Source organism: Homo sapiens, chromosome 12, assembly GCF_000001405.40.
Source record: "Homo sapiens chromosome 12, GRCh38.p14 Primary Assembly".
Classification (NCBI taxonomy): Eukaryota; Metazoa; Chordata; class Mammalia; order Primates; family Hominidae; genus Homo; species Homo sapiens.
In genome coordinates, this window is record NC_000012.12 from 79360260 (window position 1) to 79374741 (window position 14482).

The 14482-nt window shown below is 36.6% G+C and overlaps 1 protein-coding gene across 16 annotated transcripts in view, besides 2 other annotated features; it reads left to right on the plus strand.

Annotated features, from left to right (window-relative positions):
• SYT1 (synaptotagmin 1) overlaps positions 1 to 14482 on the plus strand; it is a 588027-nt gene that overhangs the window by 496278 nt on the left and 77267 nt on the right. The gene's annotated exons all lie outside the window — the stretch shown is intronic.
• Positions 3997 to 4197: a silencer, noted in NCBI's record as "peak1855 fragment used in MPRA reporter construct". NCBI's record gives its function as "represses an SCP1 promoter by STARR-seq MPRAs in K562 erythroleukemia cells {active_cell/tissue: K562}" and the evidence as "EXISTENCE:reporter gene assay evidence [ECO:0000049][PMID:32103011]".
• Positions 9857 to 10057: a silencer, noted in NCBI's record as "peak1856 fragment used in MPRA reporter construct". NCBI's record gives its function as "represses an SCP1 promoter by STARR-seq MPRAs in K562 erythroleukemia cells {active_cell/tissue: K562}" and the evidence as "EXISTENCE:reporter gene assay evidence [ECO:0000049][PMID:32103011]".

A 14482-nucleotide genomic window follows, 5' to 3' on the forward strand; every position in this document is an offset into this window, starting at 1 on the left:
ATAAGAAGTTCTATTTCTTTCATCAGTCCAGTATCCTCTTCCCTGAAAAATACCTGGCCCACATGTCTAAATTATTATCTTTTTTTCTTGAGTCTCCTCCACTGAAAGAGGAAATAAAAGCAATAGATGTTTCCTTTGTACATTCTGAAGTTGTTTCCTAGTACCCTTGACTACCACCCTTATCTGTCCTTCCACTGGTGCTGAAAGCACAACAAAGAAAAACACTCCAAATTCAATTGATGTGAACTAAAAGCCACCAGTCTGGGAGCCGGGCCAATAAATAAAATGGCAAAAACTTATTTGAACCAATTAGACAGGGATATGCAAATTAATTGGCCATGATATCAGGGTCAAGCAATAATATGCAAATAAACTGGCATCTTATTGAGCTAATGGGACAGGAATATGCATAATAATTTGGCTGTGATGTCAGAAGCTTCATCATAATTTTAGGCATGAATGTTACAATATAATATCAATTCTGGGATACTTCAAAATGCTTAATTACAATATTGATAAAATAATCTGAATTCGTAAAACATGAACAGATTGGTCTAAAAAACAAATGACAAGTCTTGAAACTGGATCATTCTAGAAAATGAGTAATTAGAAAGGATTATAGCCAAGCCCGGTACAAGTTGGGACCCAGGCACAGTTATCCACAGAATGGATAGAAATGCTCTGCCTGAAGGACTAAAAGTTTTAGAGAAATGAGCAGATGTGAAATCAAGAGAAATAAGTGATAGGCTGTAATGTATTTGTTCAGAAGAGTTAGCCCAAAAACTCCTAAGTAGATTCTTTAGCCAGCAGGTATATATCCAATCAGTCAACAAACATCATGTGAAAACTCCTCTGTGCCAGGCACCATGCCAGTCCTTGAGAATATGAGTAAAAACAGCAGACACTTGCATAGCAGAATGTGAGCCCAGACACTGTTCTAAATGCTTTACATATGGCTAACTGATTTAATCCCCAGTACAACCCTATGAGGTAGATACTATTTTTAATGTGATTTTATTGATGATGGAACTGAAGGACAGAGAGGTACATAACTTACCCAAGGTCACAGGATTACTATTTGACAGAGCTAGGATGTCAACCCAAGCAGACTGTCTTCAGACTCCAATGAATAAAACCTGATGTCTAGGTCCTTATCATTGCTCAGCAGGTTCAACCTGGAGAACAGGTGGATAACTACATGCTGCAGTTTGAAAGATGTCCAAAAGTGACCTGATTCCAAATATCCTCTATACTCAAGCTAAAATTCTATCATGGAACTCACTAACATAAATCAGTTGGTTGACTGTTTAATTAGTTCTTCAGCTACTTAGACAGCAAAGGTGAGATCAACAAGTCCATAACACCAGACATTGAATAGTTATAGATGATTTTTATGCTGGAAAGGACTGTATCAGTTTCTCCCTAATGTACAGATTGGTATGTTATTTTAGTGACTTATTCTTCACACACAAAAGAAGATGAGACACAAAACAGTGACATTTCAGCTGTATCTGTGGTACAGAAGAGAGGTTGCCGAACATGGTAGAAGAGAGTCCAAGTTTAAGGGATTTGAGTGCCTTTTAGAGATTAAAGAAAAATTTTACCTACAACTAAATTTTAGCAAGGGCTAATTCTGTAAAGGAGTATGTGATATTATTGGGAGAGGGGCAGTATGATGTAGGAGTACAAAAGCTTACTACCCTTGTAAATTGTTATGGGACTCTTTGGGTCAAAATTACATATATAAATACTAAAATTAAAGAAATTTGAATTGCAATAGACAACTTACCAGGAAAACACATGTCAGCTAGATAATTTTAACAAGAGAAATCTACAGATGAAGAAGTAGAAACAGGGAGTTCCAAAGAGGTCTGTTCTAAGGCACTTTCACCAGTCACCTTAAAACTCATAATTCTGAAGATAAGATAAACGTTTCCAGCCATTGAAATGCAAAGCTCAGTGGTAAATTTAAAAAATCTAGCTAAGCTGAGTAAGCCAAAAAATGTGGTAGATGTGCTTCATTTGGGTCAAGCTAAAAAATAATACACTAAAAGGAAAACGTGACCCAATTTAGAGTATAGAGTAATAGGATCAATTATAAATCAAGAAAAATGTCACATAGAACCATCCATTGAAGACATTCACCAAGTGAACATGTCTTTTTTGCTACCCCAAAAAAGGCTTGATGTTGTCACAGAAGATTTTATAAATAAAAGGGAGGGAAAATCTCCTACCTTTGTCCAATTCCAGAGCTCATTCATGTGTACAACACACAGAGTTTTGGTTGTTCACCTCAGAAAAGACAGTGGTATTAGATGACTATCTGCTGGAGGAAAGCAGCTACAATAAAGGGATGAAGGGGCCGTGTGTGAGGACAGGCTAGGAACAGCGGGACTTTGTGGTCTGAAAAGGATATGATGAAAGTCTGAAAATCATGAAAGGTAGAGCTAGAGTAATACCTACCTATTTATCACATCCCACAATACTAGAATCAGGAAGTCACCTTGATGTTTGAAAGAGAATAGATAAAAGGGATAGCTATTCAGGATGATCTCAAAGGCACCTTTCTACTCAAAAATTCTTTGTCAAATTTTCTTTACTACTTTACATTTGGGTTGTAAATACGTGTTGCTCTAGGAAATGGAACAGATTGAAATATAAGACTGAGATAAGTGTAGGTCTGTTTTGTGTTATAGGCTTACAAGGAGACATCTCTAAACCTTTGTGTTGTCTTGTAGGAACCCCTCATGCCTTTCCATGGGTAACCATAAATAGCCCACAGCTGCATATCTCACTAATCCAACCCAGAATGCTTACATTTGCATCCTTCAGTTGGCCACTTCTATTCCCTTCTCTTCATTCAGTATACAGAAAAAAAAATAAGGAGGGTCAGAATTTCTAATAGGTAATTGCACTGGGAGGAATAGAGTCCCCACAAATTCCTATTTTTAAAAATTATGTTTAGTGGGTTCTTTCAGGAGATATTTGGGAGTTTCTAATAAAACTATTAGAAACATGTAGCAAAAGTCGGTGCTATTCCCCCTTCCTTTTACAAAGGTATAAGATTCCTGTTAGTAAAGCCTATAATAGGTGACAAAAGCATGCAAAGTTTTGAGTCTCAAACACTATAATAATGCTCAGAAATGGAAACATCAAAGACAGTCTTTTAAAAACAACTGTACTGGCCAGGTGCAGTGGCTCACACCTGTAATCCCAGTACTTGGGCAGGCCAAGGTGGGAGGCTCGCTTGAGCCCAGGAGTTTGAGATCAGCCTGAGCTGCATAGTGGGACCCCCATCTCTACAAAAAAAATTAAAAAAAAAAAAAATAGCCAGGAATGGTAGCGCACACCTGTGGTCCCAGCTACATGGGAAGCTGAGGTGAGAAGATCTCTCAAGCCCAGGAGGTCAAGGCTGCAGTGAGCTGTGATTGTGCCACTGCACTCCAGCCTGAGTGACAAAGCGTGTCCCTGTCTCAAAAAAAAAAAAAAATTGTACTTTATTATAATCACTTCTGCTTCCAAAAGTATATACTGTTTCTACTTGGTTCCTTAATCCCTTATTCTTAATCTCAGTTATAAAAATATCATTCTTGTTCCCTTTTCACCATAGTCTTGCCACTTGCTGCACCATGAGCTACTTTGAGAGCAGGGATTGTGTCTACTTATGTCTGTGTTCTCAGAGCCCCTAGCATATATGCTGAAGAAACAGACCTTAATATACCCTGCCTAAACAATCAGTTTTAAATTTTTAAATTCCACTAATCTAACTGATTATTTTGTCTTCATCTTCCAAATGATCTGACTTAATTTCATCACTTAATGCAATTATTTTGGCATCATATAGTAGTAATCCTATTATAATAGAAATATCGGCTCATAAATAAAAACCAGACAATGGAATTCTTAAAACCAATTGGTTATTTTAGCCATCATTTTCAGAAGATTTTACTTCCTTCCTTCATTTCCCCCCTCCCCACCCCCTTTAATGGTTAAACGAAAGAAAAACAGACTATCTCCAAGAGATAAAAGAGAGTGACACAGAAATGCACACATTACTGTAGTTATACCTCAACGACAGTCATAAAGGCATTTTCAAGGGAAAAAGTAAAGACAGAGAATGATCCCTTGGTCACCTTTTGCCCAGCATGAACAGATAAGGCAATGATTCAGCATCTTACTTGTCCACTGTTTTAAAGACTAACTCCTTATCAAAGGAAGTCAAAAGACCATACCGGCTGACAGCCTTTTTAAATTACTAATGGCCTAAATTTTGCGGTACATCATTTTCAATGATGACTGGACAACTAGGAGGCTTCCTATAATTTTTTCTTTCAGAAATAAATGATTTTATTTAACTTAAAAAAAGAATTAAGCGCATTTATTTTATATCCTCAGAACCACTGAAACTGCTTTTAGCCAAAACTAAAGCAACATGATTAAGAAATTAATAGATTTCAAACTACTGATTTCAGTCAACAATATGACAGTGTAATTAACTAATAAAGTGTCCCGTTAACAAACAAAAAGAGCCGAATGCACATTTCGTGATAGTGCACTTGCAGAATTACTACATATACTACATATACATATGAAACTGCAAGATTACTCAGTAATCTACTGACGCAGCTGTCATTTTTAGAGAATATTATGAACTTCCATATCCTTATTAAGGAAACAAATGCTTTCACAAATAGCCCTGTGTTTAAATATTTATCTAGAATTTTAGTTTTAAAATTATAGGAAAGCTCAAGAAATAAAGTTAATCCACAACCCCACCACTTCTTTTCATACATAAGTAAAAAAGTAACTCAAATCAGCCCCCTCTAATCCTTTCCCATTCCTCAGAGTTAATTGACTCAAGGAAATAATTTGAAATTTCATATCCTTCCAGGTTTTCTTTCTGCTTATATCAATTCTATACATATATATACAAATATATATACATTTTACAAAATGGGATTTTAAACACATTATTCTGTAATTATTTTTAACCTACCAATATATAATGGAGATCCTTTGGGCCAACATATAGATCTGCCATATCTAGTGGTTGCATAGCATCCCTTTGTTCGAATGTATCATGGTATATTTAGTAATTCTCTTATAAATATAACTATGAGAAAAACTATATAAATTCACTGAAAGACTTCAAATGAGACCTAAATAAATAGAAAAATAACATGCTCTTGGATAGGGAACAATATAGTAAAGATGTCATGCTTCCCAAATAAATGCCATAAATGAATTTGAAAGATGAGTAACACACGAAAAGAAAGCTTTGCCTCACATAAACAGATCAAGTATTAATATCCCTGTAATACAAAGAGTTTCTACATATCAGTGAGAAAGAAAAGCAATAGGAGAAAGTCTCTATTTTATTAATGTTCCTAAAATTTACTTGCTGCTGCTTCTACTACTGGCTGCTGTTGCTGAGAAGTAAAATGTTACATTTATACAATGTCATTATGCATCTAAATAAGAAAGGATTTTAAAGTAAGATGCAATTACCCTAAGTTCAAAATCTAAAAATGTGTTGCTTAAAAAGACAGCCTAGACTGATTGCAAAGAGTACCAGAAAAAAAAAAAAAAAAGCAGGTCATTAGCTTGTAGATTTTCATATTTTCATCAACTATATTTGCAGGAGTCTGAATCCATTAAAACACTCAATCCAGCAGCATTATTATGATAACAACTTGAAAAGATATGTGACAGTCACTAAAAGTCAAAGTAAAAATACATACCGCTATGAAAGTCATTTTGAAGGGAAGTTCCCAATTTCTAGACTTTATAAAAACAATTAAGCATCTGAAAGCTACTTTTACTAAAAGTTGCCAATTCGTGTATCTAGAAAACACTCCTGCATTTTACAGCACTGTCTTTAATGTAGTGAAAATATTGCAAATGAAACTAGCCTAAAGGGCAATAATATATCACAGTATATCTCCAGTTACAGTAATTAGGAATCTATTCTAATCTTACCTGAAAGATATGTTAGTGTTTTATGTTTATAAGGATTTCACCAAAATTTTTTAAAAATAGCTTAGTAGAAGAGATTTTAAAAGAGGCAGTGAATGTTTATGAATTATGCAAGTCTGAACTTTCATTTTAATAACTCCATTAAAATATAAAAACCTTAAAAGCCTCCCATCAGGAATTTAACTTTATAGAAATGCTTTATATGTGCCCTGACCTTGCCAAGAGGCAGGCCTAAGGCATGATTTAACAGTTACTACAAGGCAAAGCCTAATAATAAATACCTATCTGAAAATGCCAGCATTTGTCCCTGCCTCCTTGGCCTCCAGTGGAGTTGCAACTCAGCCATAAACAGGCCCTCTCCTGAGAGACAGCAGGGCGCAGCAGAAAGGGAGCAGCAACTGGCCCTGGAAAGCCTGGATCGGAAGCCTTTAACCTTTCTGATCCTCAGTCTGTTCATCTATAAAACTAGGGTATTAGAGACAGCCATATTGTTGAATAAACAAATGAGATAACATTAGGTGAAAGCTCCAGGTAGAAAGCACTATATAAATATTGGTTATTTCTAAGCAAAAGACAGTTCTTGGTTAACTCTTAATTTTTGTCACCATATCCTGGCTCCAGGAGAATGTGTGTTCCTATATGGCTGATATAAATAATACTGTGTGTGTGTGTGTGTGTGTGTGTGTGTGTGTGTGTGTGTGTGTGTGTGTGTTCAAAGAATGCCTCTTCATTATTTGGATGGCAGTTAACTGCTTTGGCTAACTTATGTTGGCATCCTGAAGCTAACAGCAAATCCTCCTCCCATCTCCTGTAACTTGTGGCCACAAGACCCAGCATATTTTATAAGAAATCAGACCAGTAGTATATTTCTACGATCTTCAGTTTGTTAAGCTATTTATTTGAGTTAAGACACCGAGTTGTCTTCCAAGTACTTCTTTTATGATAACAGATCCAAGACAGACACAGCTAATTTGGGCAACAAGTAGGGACAAAGAGGAAGAACAGAGCCTCTGTCATCCTAATTATCAAGTTAATGCCTGGTTGCTGGACAAACTCTCCCTCTCTCTAAAATGAACCACCGCAAGTTGGAACCTGCTGTTGCAATGTTAATTTGACTAGAAGTGGCAGGACCTGGTCCCAGAGCAGCTCCTGGTTGTCTTTCCAAATAATTTTGCCCCAGGTAATAAATACCTAATTGATGCAATATGAGTCAGTATTTGTTGTTCATTGCTACATAATTGAGTGGTCAAGGTTTCATCTTTCACCTGTCTCTACAAATTCTTAATCTCCACAAGTAGTCAACATTAAAAACAAGAAAGTTACCCATGTAAATTTCTACATGCTTGCATCCAAACACCCTTTGACTCTCTTCAGCTTGCTTTCCTCTCGATGAAATTTCATTTTCCATATTAAACATATCTCCAGGCTGTGCCCATCTTGGCATTTCAAAAAAAAAATAGAAAAACCTGGTTGGATTATACGTCTGCCTTCTCCTTAAATCAGATGAATTGCTCCACTTGCCGGTAGGATAAATAGTTCAGTTAAAGCATATACTAAGAATCTCAGATAAGTAGCTCAGTTAAAACATATACTAAGAACCTAGGTAAGAAATGTGAAAAAAAAATATTGCTTATTAGTCCTACAGCAGAGATGATACCTTTTTTTAAAAAAAAAAATTATTATTATACTTTAAGTTTTAGGGTACATGTGCACAATGCGCAGGTTAGTTACATATGTATACATGTGCCATGCTGGTGTGCTGCACCCATTAACCCGTCATTTAGCATTAGGTATATCTCCTAAAGCTATCCCTCCCCCCACCCCACAACAGTCCCCAGAGTGTGATGTTCCCCTTCCTGTGTCCATGTGTTCTCATTGTTCAATTCCCACCTATGAGTGAGAACACGCGGTGTTTGATTTTTTTTCCTTGCAATAGTTTACTGAGAATGATGACTTCCAATTTCATCCATGTCCCTACAAAGGACATGAACTCATCATTTTTTATGGCTGCATAGTATTCCATGGTGTATATGTGCCACATTTTCTTAATCCAGTCTATCATTTTTGGACATTTGGATTGGTTCCAAGTCTTTGCTATTGTGAATAGTGCCTCAATAAACATACGTGTGCATGTGTCTTTACAGCAGCATGATTTATAGTCCTTTGGGTATATACCCAGTAATGGGATGGCTGGGTCAAATGGTATTTCTAGTTCTAGATCCCTGAGGAATTGCCACACTGACTTCCACAATGGTTGAACTAGTTTACAGTCCCACCAACAGTGTAAAAGTGTTCCTATTTCTCCACATCCTCTCCAGCACCTGTTGTTTCCTGACTTTTTAATGATTGCCATTCTAACTGGTGTGAGATGGTATCTCATTGTGGTTTTGATTTGCATTTCTCTGACGGCCAGTGATGGTGAGCATTTTTTCATGTGTTTTTTGGCTGCATAAATGTCTTCTTTTGAGAAGTGTCTGTTCATGTCCTTCGCCCACTTTTTGATGGGGTTGTTTGTTTTTTTCTTGTAAATTTGTTTGAGTTCATTGTAGATTCTGGATATTAGCCCTTTGTCAGATGAGCAGGTTGCAAAAATTTTCTCCCATTCTGTAGGTTGCCTGTTCACTCTGATGGTAGTTTCTTTTGCTGTGCAGAAGCTCTTTAGTTTAATTAGATCCCATTTGCCAATTTTGGCTTTTGTTGCCATTGCTTTTGGTGTTTTAGACATGAAGTCCTTGCCCATGCCTATGTCCTGAATGGTAATGAGATGATACTTTTATAACACTTTGATTTGTCATTTTACTAATTGCTAAATTTGCCCATATCAGTCATGTTGAACTGTGCCTCCCTCAAACAACTAGCAAGACTGATCTGAGGTTGAACCAATTGCTTAGGAAACATCCTCTATGAAGCTATAAACCTGAAACCTATCTATATTCAGTCTCTGGAGATGAAAGTGTCAGAGCTGGCAGGGCATGGTGGCTCATCCCTGTAATCCCAGAACTTTAGAAGGCTGAGGCAGGAGGATTGCTGGAAACCAGGAGTTTGAGACCAGCCTGGGCAACATAGTGAAACCCTGTCTCTACAAAAATTATTAGCCAGGCATGGTGGCATATGCCTGTAGTCCTAATTACATGGGAAGGTGAGGCAGGAGGATTGCTTGAGCCCAGGAGGCTCAAGCCCATGATCACTCATACTGCCACACTCCAGACTGGGTGACAAAGCGAGACTCTGCCTCAAAAAGAAAAGAAAAAGAAAGTGTCAGATAAATTTAAGAGGTACATTTCAGCCTGATCCATATTGAGATTAAGGGCTGCTTTCTTTTTAAATAAAGATATGTTTAGTATTTCTACAATAGGATTCAATACAATAGAATTGAAAGTATGTGTAAGTTTAGCCCAAAGCTAAAGAGAAAGATACTATTCTCAAGCCAAATTACATACAGTATGTAGATGTACCTGTATCTTTATCTTTTTTTATTTTTTTTGAGACAGGCAGATATATCTTTTAAAATTGACTTGGCCTCATACTTTTATAGCACATGCAGATTTTGATTCTTGTAACTGTCACTTGAAATTTTGTTTTTTAAAGCTAAATTAGTCCAATCATCTTGCATGCTGCAAGAGGAACTAGTTATTCAAACTATGAGAATTTAGTATTTGCTTACAAGCAAGATAACAAGAATGGAATCTTTTTTATCTTGGGTGGGTCAGTGAGCAAAAAGATATTTCTTTTTATTTCTGTGTGCTATTAATATGGGTGGTTCTTATCATTGCCTCTCTAACTTTCCATTTAAATTTCAAAATGATTTAATCTTAAATGTAAAACAACTGTGAAATCTTATTACCGAGATTATTTATTTCAAAAATGAGTCTCCGGCAACAGAGTTCCTATACTCTATGCTGAGAGATCTGGAATATTGCATTCATTTCTGAAAACACACTTAAGAGGAGAGACATTAACTTTCTGAAGCAAATTCAGCAGGAAATCAGGGTCATGCAGAGGGCAGATACAGTCTCAGTTAAGGAACAGTTCAGGCAATTGGAGATGTTTAAGCTGCAAAATACAGAATTCAAAGAGGACATAACTGTCTGAAAAATGTGAGAAAAGAATTGAACCTACTCTTATTAACTATAAAGACCTGAACTGGGATCCATGAGTATAAGTGATGGAAATCCATACTTGGTTCTTCCCATTTTAGTTCCCAAACAAAAGCTAGAGGAAAGTTTATCAGAAATACTGAGTTAGGGCCGGGCGCGGTGGCTCACTCCTGTAATCCCAGCACTTTGGGAGGCTGAGGCGGGCGGATCACGAGGTCAGAAGATCGGGACCATCCTGGCTAAAACGGTGAAACCCCCTCTCTACTAAAAATACAAAAAATTTAGCCGGGCATGGTGACGGGCGCCTGTAGTCCCAGCTACTCAGGAGGCTGAGACAGGAGAATGGCGTGAACCCGGGAGGCGGAGCTTGCAGTGAGCAGAGATCGCGCCACTGCACTCCAGCCTGGGCGACAGAGCGATATTCCGTCTCAAAAAATAATAATAATAAAAATAAAAAATAAAAATAAAAGAAATACTGAGTTAGGGATGGTACCCTACCTACCTGCCATAGGTTAGGGAATTAACCTATTAAATCCCTCCAATCTTCTAAAGTTTCATTTTAAAACTCTAAAAGATCATGCCCAGCCTAAAGACAACATCAGCCCATGGAAGAGCACATCTATTAAAGACAAATGTATCCTCACCAAAAGTGATTATTTTATTTTTTCCTTAAGATAATACGAATGAAAGACTACTACTGCTAATAATAATTATAGTTATAATCTAGTCAGTGCTTTCTCTGCTGTGCATTTACTAATTTCGTCTTGTTTAATCCTATTCATACTCTCATGAGGTAGGTATGGTTATCCCCATATATGAATGAGAAAACTAAGGTTTGGAAAAGAGACTCGCTCAAGGTCACAAGGTAAAGAAATGGCAAAGGCCCAGCTCCTCACTCCAGCTGCATCTGTTACCTAAGCCTGCCCACTTACTCACAGCTTCCCCCACCTAGACAGTGCACACTGTAATTTCAATTGGCCATAATCCCCAAATCATAGAAACCTCAACTCTAGAAGATAATGAATGCTCTTGAGCAGCAAAATGATCATCAGTTGACTCACAATGAATACTCTCTATAGATTATTTTGACAAAGTAACGCTATCCAACTGTGCCTGCAAATGCCAACACATGCAAATCCCTGCGACTTCATAAACAGCAAATGCCCTAATGAGCTAAAGAAACAATTGCTCTTTATTCATTTTCTTCAGTGTGTTTCTTATTTCTGCTGGAAAATAATGTCCAGAAGGAATTTGTGTTCTATTCAATGACTATAAAAAAGAGGAAGGTTAGTGTTTACAAGTTTACATAATACAAAAAAGAGTGGCCGTGAAACAGTGAGCTGTGGCTTCCTGGTGGGAAGACACTCACATGCAGCCTGTGACTTCCTGGGCAGTTTTAATTTACTTTTAATCATTTCAGAAGTCATGCCTCAGAGGTTTGAGATAAAAAGTTTCATAGCATCTTACCTTTTTCTTTTCTGCCCCTCCTTTTTTAGTTTGGTAAAATGTAGTCCAGAAAAACAGGTGGAGGGGGAAGAGCCAGTTTAAGTATTTGCTCCTCCAGGAAACTTCCCACATATCCTAAACCCATCTTTGTTCTTCTTTACCTTTATACTGTCCACGTTTTTTCACTTGATCACTGACTGTTGTGTTTCTTCAACTGTGTTCTGTACATACCTTTTCTCATTCATGAGAATGAATTGTTTAATCATCAGGGTTGCCAACACCCTCATTATTTCTTTTTCTGTGTTCCCATGGTGCACTGGAGTTATCTCGTCCCATGATTTATCACACACTGTAGGTATTCGTGGCTCTTTCTCTGTGAACTCCTTTAAGGAGACCAACTTAATTCACTTTTGCATAACCGTCATCTAGCATCGCCTAGCACATTGTAGGCCCCCATGAAGAAATTAAATTAAATGAAAACTCGAATAGTTCACTTAATCCCCAGTGTTTAACATATAGTATGAACTGAATTGAAGTAAAGTGAATTAAATTCAATCAGAACAAATCAAAATGAACTGAAATGATTATAAGACATTATTATGTTGGATAAAGTTATCCAGATTATATTTATAATTTGTAGAAAAATTGATTAGCACAGCCTAGCTATGTTGTTGTGTGATTCCTATGATGGACACTCAGGATTGCCCATTATGTTACTACCATAGAAAGGTCAGCAGCCTTTAGGCCCAATATTACAGCTAGTTCTTTAAGCTGAGGCCATAAGGGTAGACACAGTCTAAATCACTGTGTATTGGCTGAGAAATGTAGACCAAACTCCGGAAGGCTGACAGTATTTCTGAACAAGCAAATGATGCTTAAAGTGAACTGAAGCTGTTGATTATACAGGAGGATTCCCCAACAAGTAGATCTAAAATTTCATTTCCAGGGCTAAGTCACCTTCTTGGTCCATGGTTTGCTGTGATCTCAGAGGGAGAGGAAACCATACCCACAACAGCCCCTCATCCCTCCCCTCTCTTCTTATCTCTAGCTTCTAAATAGTTGTCCATCAGCACGCACTGTGCACCCCATCTGAGTTCAGCTGTGTGTTAGGCACCTGAAATTCAGTCAATACCATGAACATTATCTCTCCACTTTTGGGTCCTAACTTCTCAAAAAGGAGACCAACAATAAGTAAGTACCAAAAATATTAATCATAAATGATCACAAATTCTATCAGGCTGTGAAAGAGAGAAATGACAAGATATTTCCCTCATCCAAAAATGTAGACTCTGATTTAGGAGTATAGGCAATTCTTTTCTCAAAATTATATCTCTTTTCATCAAAAAAAGTAATTATTGGTAAACCAGATAAATAAGCATTTTGTAAAAATGAAAATGATTGGGGGAGAGAGGAATATCCTCTCCTACAATTTGTGCTTAACTAGCTTAGGTTTGTCCGATGAGATCAGACATCTTTTAATGTTGATGATGTTCACCTATCAGTAAAACTTTGGGAGCACATTCCTCTTTATACATTTACTTGTAGGTTTGTAAGTGTATATAGACCACTATAGTAATATAAAATGGACATTATAAACTTAAAAGTCAAAAAATGTAAAAGATAAAGCAAAAGTAAACATTTTACAATTTGCTTTATGAATGATAAAAATGTTATTCTCCCTTTAAAATATAATTACTAATTTGTTAATAATAAATATGCCTCACTTTTCTTTAAGATATCTGTTTAACTTTGTAATGTAGCAATTCACAAGCATAATATTAGATTCCATTTATTTCAACACTTAGTTTTATAGATGGTCACATCAAAAAAATGCCTCACAAATGCACAATATTCATAATATTTAATATGAACTTAGTTTGGAATTTACAGAAAATATGTCAATATATCACATCGACTGAAGTTTTTTATTTTTTTTAAATCAAAACTTTTAAAAGCTTAAAACTTTTAAACTTTTAGAGAAGCTTTTAGCCAGCTTCTCTAACCTGAAATAGATGATCATTTTTACCTGTAGGCATGACTGACAGAGCACAGCTGAAGAAGAGGTACCAGCTGGGTCATATTCTCATTTCTCACTCGTGTTTGCATTATCAAGTTTTCTTCAAGCCACAGTTGTTGTTCAGGACTCATTTTAGGCAACATGCTCATTTTGTGAAGAGTAGTTTGGTTACAATTAAATAACATAATCTATAAACCAATTTAACTGGGCTCACATAAAGCGCAATACATAGAAAAATGCTAACAGCAAATAAAGTGCAGGCCCCTCTGGCACCCCACCCCACGGTGGCGCTTCCATGCCACCCTCAGGAAACCTTGAGTACTGCGTGTGAATCATGCCAGAACAGGGGCACCTCTGTGATACTGTACATCAGACCTCAGTAAATTTCCAATCCTTTATTTTTAGAAGAAGAAAATAAAGTAGAAACTCTGGTATTTTCTTCTGGGGTGCCAGAAGTAAATATTTGAATTTCTACTTTATTTTTTCCACACTGGAGATCAGAGAAACTAAAGGTTTCAAGTTTATAAACCAAAAGTCGGCCAGCAAATACATTTTCCTTTCCTTTCTCTTACCAAAGAGAAAAAGATGATATCATGTTGATTAAGTTTTGTCTTTATAGACCAACTATTCATTAACCAGAAGGACAGATCATTGTTATTTATTAATGTGATACCTAATTTTTATTTTAAAAGGGTACACATTCTAACAAATGGTAATTTCTTCATAATTTTCAAAAATAATGCCGGGTTTTAAAAAGAAAAACAGATGATGTAAAGAGGCACTAAACCAGATTAGTTTCAGGACATTCAATGTCACCAGAAGGATAGGAATGGCTGGATGTTGCACCTATAAAGGGAAACACTGGATGGGTAGCAGGATGGCTGCTCACAAGGATTTGAAGAACTACCCTGTGGACAAAAGTATGGAATCACATATTCAGCAAATA